At 38.3% G+C, this 8346-nt stretch overlaps 1 long non-coding RNA gene across 1 annotated transcript in view, besides 2 other annotated features; it reads right to left on the bottom strand.

Annotated features, from left to right (window-relative positions):
- Nucleotides 1671-2173: an enhancer, noted in NCBI's record as "H3K27ac hESC enhancer chrX:114607575-114608077 (GRCh37/hg19 assembly coordinates)". NCBI's record gives its function as "activates a minimal SCP1, AML or CMV promoter by ChIP-STARR-seq in primed H9 embryonic stem cells {active_cell/tissue: H9 hESC(primed)}" and the evidence as "EXISTENCE:reporter gene assay evidence [ECO:0000049][PMID:30033119]".
- The window catches only part of LOC107985681 (uncharacterized), a 29905-nt gene continuing 23246 nt past the window's right edge, over nt 1688-8346 (bottom strand). The window contains exons 2-3 of the long non-coding RNA XR_001755944.2: nt 7374-7514; nt 1688-2790 (exon numbers count right to left, since the gene is read on the bottom strand). This is a non-coding gene — a long non-coding RNA (uncharacterized LOC107985681). The remainder of the gene's footprint in view (nt 2791-7373; nt 7515-8346) is intronic.
- Nucleotides 2313-3170: an enhancer, noted in NCBI's record as "NANOG-H3K27ac hESC enhancer chrX:114606578-114607435 (GRCh37/hg19 assembly coordinates)". NCBI's record gives its function as "activates a minimal SCP1, AML or CMV promoter by ChIP-STARR-seq in primed H9 embryonic stem cells {active_cell/tissue: H9 hESC(primed)}" and the evidence as "EXISTENCE:reporter gene assay evidence [ECO:0000049][PMID:30033119]".

Raw genomic sequence — 8346 nt, 5'->3', positions numbered from 1 at the left:
ACACCCCCTTGAAACTTGGAGCAGAGAGCAGAGCTTGCAAGGGTAGGATGGTAATCACTGAGGAGTATGATAACTGAGGGGGCAGAAGAAACATTACAAATGTAATTATCACACTGTATATTAAACAGTGATTGGGGTTTATTTATTTATTCATTTATTTATTTATTTTGAGACAGAATCTTGCTCTGTCACCCAGGCTGGAGTGAAGTAGTGTGCTCATCATGGCTCACTGCAGCCTCAACCTCCTGGGCTCAAGCCATCCTCCCACCTCAGCCTCTTGAGTAGCTGGGACTACAGGCGCACATGATACCACACCAGGCATTTTTTTTTGTTATAGAGATGGGGGTCTCACTATCCCTGAGACTCCTGTGGACTAACTAGCTCTTGCTCCTCACCACTAATTAACCATAGTGTACTAAGCTTGGACCCTGGGTATTTCACATTTTCCTCTTCTACTATCAGCATTCCTTTTTTATGCCTGGATGCATCCCTTCTAATCTGCTTTTTTACCTTTCACGCAATCATCTAACTATAGAGGGCTTAAGGTAACACATTTTTTACTACCAAGATAAATTATAAGCCTTTCTGTATATGACTGTGTGCTAGGTGATAGGGTGAGATATCACTATATTTTGTTTTGCCCTATATTGCATTGGTGTGTTTTTCTACTCTTTAATCCCTAGAAACAACCTTGAACTGTATTGAAGATTATGGATTCTGTGTTGTTGTTTGGCTCAATCCCAGTTCTCACTCTTAATCTGGGAAAAATCCTGACATTAGGGAAGTTGGCATCAAAGGAAATGTACTATAACTGAAGCACAACTAGACATCCATAGTGTACAGTACAATTCAATCTTGAGGTGATTGCAAAGAGATAAAGATGTAGGCACAAACAGTGTTTATCCATTTTCAAGTCTGCAGCATCTATTCTGTGATTTTTGTTTGCTGAGAAATAATATTTCAAAGGCATTTCAGCTCCTTTCACTCTCATTCTGGAGAATTTCAGTCTGTTCAGCTTCTCCTAACATCTTTTTTTTCTGATTTTTTCTGTCTCTTTCCCAGGTTAATGTGCATGGGAGGTAGAGGTGATCCTAAGAAATAGAGGAGGAACAAATTCAGAAATAAGTATTTTCAATTCACCTCTAAATGCCTAACAGGACTTAGAATGAATGATATATTTTCATAAATGATCACTAAAATCATTGGCCAGATTACAGCTAAAGCACAAATACTTTTGTAGAGGCTAACCTAACTTTACATAATATATTTTTTTTCCGAAAAAAGCAAGGAAATTTAATTTGCCAATTAAATTATTTAAATGGCCTTAATATTGCAAGAGCTGACTGACTGGCCGACCTATGTGTATATAAGGTAACTTTCAGCTTTAACATTCTCTGATTTTAATCTAGAATGTTAAATATAGGCTTGGGCAGGATAAATTTGAAATGCCTAAGAGTGTCAAACAGGGGCCTATAAAATGGAGATGGTGTGTGGTCCCTTAGGTTTGGAGACAAAAGGCGCAGGCAAGGAAAGAGTGGGCGCGATGTGTCTGTGTGTGTGTGTGTGTGTGTGTGTGTGTGTATGTGTGTGTGTGTGTGTGTGTGTGTGTGTGTGTACTTCCCATGCTGAGAATTGCCCCTATTTCCCACAAAGGAAAGGAATTCTGTGGGTCAGACTCTCGCTAAAGTCCAGTGTAAGTACTTCGCCTTTATTCAATGTGTAGAGATCTTTCCCTCAGAGAACAAAGCATGCATCCAGCCTCATGGTAGGAGAGAAAGCTTATTTCTACCCACTTTCTTGCCTGAACAATTACTAAGCATAATATTCACCTGAACAGTTCTTGCCAAAAAAAAAAGCATTCATGATTAGCCATTTCCTTTCTCTAAAATCCAATGTATTGTGATTTCATTTTCATTTAATTTGCATTTGGCACTTCACAAAACCTGAAAGGTCAGGATTAGTAGAATTTTCGAGTAAAGTGCAATTGCATGAAAAGATTTTCATTTTCTCTTTACGTAAGATTTCCATGATTACCTAGGACAGGTTTTTGTATTCTTTAATTTCTTTGTGTGTGCTGCTTTCGGAATTTGCACACAAAAATTTTTATTATTAAAGCCAAGTTAAAATTGGAGTTTCCCAGGGAATTAAATGTGGCTCTTTGTTTAGACTTTATAGAATTCTAATTCCAGACTAAAGGTCATTCAACAGTAAAATGGAGATTAATTTTCTTTTTCTGTAAACTAATTTTAAGCAATTTTTCTCCCTCCCCGCATTCTCTGATTTTAAGTAACTTTCCTTCCTCTCAGCTTTTTCCTGCTTAGGTTTACTGATTATTATAGCTTTGTGCAGCTCATCTCTTTATTGGCTTCTTGGCCCTGTCTGTCTCCATCTCTGTTTTCCTTTCTTTTAGCCCCAAAAAGCAACCTGGCTAAGAAATTGAGTTCCAAGGAGAAGGGGAGTAATGCATGGAAGTGAATTGCTGAACATTTGCCTTGTTCATTCTTGATTTATATGTTAAAAAAAATCTCTGGATTTTTAGAAAAGTGAGTCTGTAAATGCTGTTGAGGATAGTCTTTGGCACTAACTCACTCTTCTAAGGCAGTGTTCGTGATGACTTCACTCCTTTAGAATGTGGCTCGTAGGATAGCACTCACACATGCCTTAGGTCACTTGAAGGAAGTGTCCTCTGATACTCAGTAAACAATACAAGCTTTCTCCGTCTTCCCATCTTCAGACACTTCTTGATCAGCAAAGTGTTTACGAAAATGGACTTCAAGAAGGACTGAGTAGCTGGATTGTTGAAAGGAAAAAGACAGTATGTGTGTCAGTGTTTTTTTTTTTTTATTTCAGGAACATGCATTAGCAAACTAGACAGCTGCATGGAGGCAGATACAGTTGCTTCTTAAATTCTGCAGTATTATCAGAGTGTGTGAAGGTTAATTTGCCAGTTGTTATACAGTATGCCAAGCAATTCTGGGTGTCTGCTTGGATAACTTACTTTCCCATGTAAGTATGGTTTTCTAAGTGCCATTAAGACAATCCTGCCAGGTAGCATGAAAAGAAAAACAGAATAAACAAATTAAAATGCAGCAGTAACTTTGTGCAAATCTTATTAAATCAGCCACAAAATAATCCATTTTGTGTGGGTGAGTTTCTGCACATACTATTAAGAAGCACAAGATCTGGGGTAACCACAACTATGTAACAAAGTAGATATGGTGAAATAATATGAAACTACTAATTGCAATTATTACATATAAAATATTTATGTTATAGATCATAAAATATCCTTGCTGTATGGAGATTAATTTTCAATAGGGATTTTCAAGGGAAGGCAAATGGCACTGATATATATTGAGTTACTGCTGTGTGCTAAGTGCATGACTAGCTGCTTTGCATATTTAAACTCATTAGAGGCCCACCACAACCCTGTGAGGTTAAGCACAACCCTGTGAGGTGACTGGTGGCTCATGCCTATAATCCCAGCCCTTTGGGAGGTGAAGTGGGCAGATCACTTGAGGCCAGGAGTTTGAGACCAGCCTGGCCAACATGGCAAAACCCCATCTCTACTAACAATACAAAAATTAGTCAGGCCAGCTACTTGGGAGGCTGAGGTGGGAGGATTGCTTGAACCTGGGAGGCAGAGGCTGCAATGAGCCGAGATAACGCCACTGCATTCCAACCTGGGCGGTAGAGTAAGACTCCATTTTTTTTAAAAAAATTGCCTAGTAAATAAGTCTCAGAAAGGTCACTATCTTGACTAGGATCACACAGCTGGGAAGCAGCAGAGTTAGGATCCAAACCGATACCTGTCTGTATGTATATACTTTATCTTTTAAATGTTTTGACAGCATAGCTCATGTGTCATTACATAGCAATTCATCACATCATTATTTTAATTTTTTCTTCTGTAAAATTTCCAAAACAAATACAAGGTAAAAGATTATACCTGTCAGGGTTCAAGTTCATGAACTGGCCGATGTCATCATAGCAGCAAATTAAACTGTGCTCCAATTGACAGTTTTGTTCTTAACCTTACACTGATTTATTTAATGGCTTCTGTCTTCAATAGAGTTTCTTAGCATATCAAAATGTCCTCATTCCCTCATAAGCAGTCTGTAACCTCGAGAGCAAAAGGGTAATGTTTCTCATGGGCCTTGAGTTTTTGATATGTGAGTATGTGCATATGCGTGCCAACTCAAAATATTGCTGCAAAGTGATTCTCTACTCCTTTTTTTATACTCATAGGCTGTACTGCCTAAATGGCACACAGAATACAGAGATGCATAGTAATTATTCTGGTTCCTTTCTTTTCCAGCTGTGTGGCTTAAATTATTTACCATTATCAGTCTCGGTTTCCTCACCTACAAAATGGAAATAATATTAACACTTACTTGGTAGGTTTTGACATTAATGGGATGAAGGAGGCAAAGTAATAAGCACAATGGTTGGTAGATAATAAACCCCCAAGGTGAGCTACTACTCGTATTTATTTAGCTTCAGCTACTACAAAGCAGTATGCACGTTTGTTTAAAACCTGGACTTCAGAGTCAGACCACACTAGTTTGAGTCCTAGCTTTACCACTTAATATCGATGAGACCTTGGTCATATTGTTTAATATCTCTAACAGTCAGTTTTTAACATCTCTAAGAATCAATTTTTAATTCTCTAAGAGTCAATTTTAGAGATGTTTATCAACATCTCTAAGAGTCCATTTAAAAAGTCCTGGGCTGGGCACAGTGGCTCACGCCTGTAATTCCAGCGCTTTGGGAGGCCGAGGCGGGCAGATCACCTGAGGTCAGGAGTTCGAGACCAGTCAGGCCAAAGTGACGAAACCCTGTCTCTACTAAAAATACAAAAAATTAGCCGGGCGTGGTGGTGGGTGCCTGTAATCCCACCTACTCGGGAGGCTGAGGCAGGAGAATCGCTTAAACCCAGGCGGCGGAGGTTGTAGTGAGCCGAGGTCACCCATTGCACTCCAGTCTTGGTGACAAGAGTGAAACTCCTTCTTAAAAATAAAATAAAATAAAATAAAATAAAAATAAAAGCCCCAATATCAGTCAATTTATAGTGCCACTATACTATAGTGGTATCTTCCTTTTTTGATATTGAAGAACATTAAATGAAATAACACACATAAAGTATCCAGCATGTAGTGCCTATTTAGTGTGATATTTTCACCTTTCTAAACATACAACCAACCACATTTCCAAGTTCATTAAATATTATTGCTGTGTTATCATTTAATGAAGACAATGACCATATATTGCATTTTCAAAAATTATATTCAGGAAATTCCAGCACAGACTTAATCTACTTATGCTTTGACATATACTATTAATTTCCCATGAAGATCAAAGAACAAGTACATTGTTAACACTAAGACATTTAAGACCAAAGAAGGATGATAAAATCATTAGAGATATTTTATAATGTTTAAAAATGATAAACATGCCATCTGTCAGTCTAGAACTATCCAATGTAGATAGAGCAAGATAAAAATATTTGTAAGTCCTAGTCTTGCCTTTTTCATCATTTCCCCACAAAACTTTGAGTGATTCTTTTAAACTCTGTGTCTCAGTTTTCTTTCTCACTGAATTGGGAAAATAAAATATGTTTTGCCTATCTCAAAGGGTTGTTGTGACGATCAAATCAAGTAAAGTATGGGAAGGCATTTGGTAAAGTATGAATATGAAAAAAAAGCATGGCTCCTTCGTTAAATTACAAGTGCTTACAAGTGATTCTAGTTATTTATTTTTGTGATATTCTTACACTTTTAAAATATTTAGCCACAGCATAGCAACCCAGCTTTTTAAAATGCAGTATTCAAAGAACGACACACTTAATAGGAAAGCTTATCTTTGAGACATTTTAAGACAAAAAAACTTCACTCTATTTGACAGATTTATGGATTTTGACTAGCTGGGCAGAGAGCTTGTGTGAAAGGTTCTTATTCTTTGGATCAGAGTAGGGCTTTAATTTCTCTCAAACCAGCTGTCCAGGACTATAGGCTATTATTTTCACTTTAAATGTATCACCTGCTCCAATGCACCAGCGGGATGACTAAAACATTTCAAAGCTGGGGAACTATTTCTCTTGCTTTTGTCTGAAACCAAAACATCCTTTGTGTGAAGGGACAGAAGCAAGAAATGTTTCTGCTTCAGTTTAAATGAGGACTTATATTGAGAAGATCTCAAGGGATCTAGGAAAAGATTATAAAACATATCCTCCTCACTAGCCTGGCAGCTGGTGATAAATCCAGGAGGCAACTATTTTCTATAGCAACTGTCTTTATTTGAGGATAATAGGGTAATATAGCCTGGTGGTAAAGACTTAGACATTCCTGGATTCCAATATTAGTTCTGACACTTACTAGGTATATGACCTTGGGCAAAACACTCCAAAACTCCCCAGTTTCCTCATCTGTAATATGGAAGATACCAGCCCCAAAGTGGTGACTTGATGATTATATAATTCACATGAATAAATTAGATTCATGTCAGACACATAGCGAGTGTTCAGAAAATCTTAACTTATTTTAACTGTTCTGACTTATTATTACTATGATTATTATCACTATTATTATAGAATTAGGAGGTTCTCAGCTTCAAATTTGGATTTGCACCTAATTCATTCTCACAGAAACAGAGATGTTATTAAGTATGCCTTTTTCCTTCATCGCACCTTTGAGCACACACATCCCTTTAGAGACCCTTTGGAGGTGTTCCATCTCTGACTCTCACAAATCGCCCTTCTTATTTCACTAAATTTTACTTATTTGGGGCATGAAGTAATTTACCATGTCTAGGCACTGCCTGGAGTCAACTAGTAAAGGGTTGGATTAGACGACCTCTCGGCTTCCTTCCATCCCTGAGAATCTATGATTCTATGAGTCAGTGTTTGGGGAAAAAAATGAAGGGCTGTTTAGTGATGAGTGACAGTTCTGTCCTAAAAGAACAAAGAACTTACTCACTGTGCCAGAAGCCATGTTGAAGATCACAGGATAATGAATTATAACTCTACTACCCTCTGGCAGGACAGGAAAGGAATCTCATAGACAAATTGCACTGGGAGACAGATTATGGATTAAAGTCTCCAATATTCATGACTTCCAACCAGTCAGCACATAAGACCATAACAAGTGCCAAAGGCCACTCCTGTATATTAAAAAAAATAATGGAAATATCCCCAAAGAGAAGCAAGGGAATGAAATTCTGGCCAAGACAGTATTTCTGAATCCTTCTCCTTTTCTGGAAATAGCTATGATAAACAGCTCATGAGACAATATAAGCCATCATCTGTAAACTTGTGGCTTTTGAGAAAAAAAACATAATGGTGGAATTTAAATTCTACCCTGTCTTTTTCCACTTACCAGCAACTGGGGGTTGCCCAGCAGGAGAAATGAGATCATTTCCCTCTGAGTGGCTAGCCGAGCTTGCCCACATTCATTCTTCTTCCCACGTTGTGTTTTAGCAGGCATCAACACGTCAGCAACTTCTGAAATGTGCCAGATCTGGGGAAGCAGGGCATTGTCACTACTGCACGAAAGAACTCCCCACCTCTGCAGTGGACCCACACCAGCCACATTTTCTCTTGTTTTCTCGTCAAATGGTGGTAGGAGGTCAAAGCGGACCCTCTGGTTTACTGCCTGACACACTGCTTGGCTAACCTTTGGAGCCTATAGTCCACCAGCCAGCCTTCCTGATGTCATTTGATACACTCCATTTCTTCTCTGCATTCTTTTCAAACACCCCTTTCCTTGATTCTGCTTCTCAGGTGGCTATGAGGCTAGAAAGGCTGGTGATCTATGGAAGGGAGAAGAGGGTGCTGTCCACCAAGCACCCTAAGACATGAAGTCATTATCATTGTGATACCAGAAATGCTACTCTAAACTTTTCAGCTTCTCAGACTTAATAAACAGTTGTCTCTTTTTAAAAATGAAAAGCATTTTCATTGTTTCATATATTACTTGTGTAACATAGGAATACATTCTCATCGTGAAAATTAACATGCCAAACTGTCTAGAGTTAATGGGAGTCTCCTTTCATTCTCACCCCTGCATCCCGATCTAAGTCTCTTTCCCAGAAGGAACTGCTGTCAACTCTTCCATATATAACCTTTCAGATCTTTTTATTCTTAGTTATATACATATTTGCACATAAACTGTATGCAACAAATACATAACTCTTGGAATCCTCATTAGAAGTCTACTTGATGTAACTGCTTTCCTCTACCACTTTATCTCACCCAGCTCCAGCAGTAAGCCATACAGCTGAGTTCAGGAGAAGGTGAATGAATGGTTGTACTAGTAGGCATGTGTCTGGATATCTATGTCAGGCTACAGT

This window comes from Homo sapiens, chromosome X (genome assembly GCF_000001405.40).
Source record: "Homo sapiens chromosome X, GRCh38.p14 Primary Assembly".
NCBI classification, from domain to species: Eukaryota; Metazoa; Chordata; class Mammalia; order Primates; family Hominidae; genus Homo; species Homo sapiens.
Note: the sequence above shows the minus strand (reverse complement) of the source record. Positions and strands in the feature narration are given on the sequence as shown.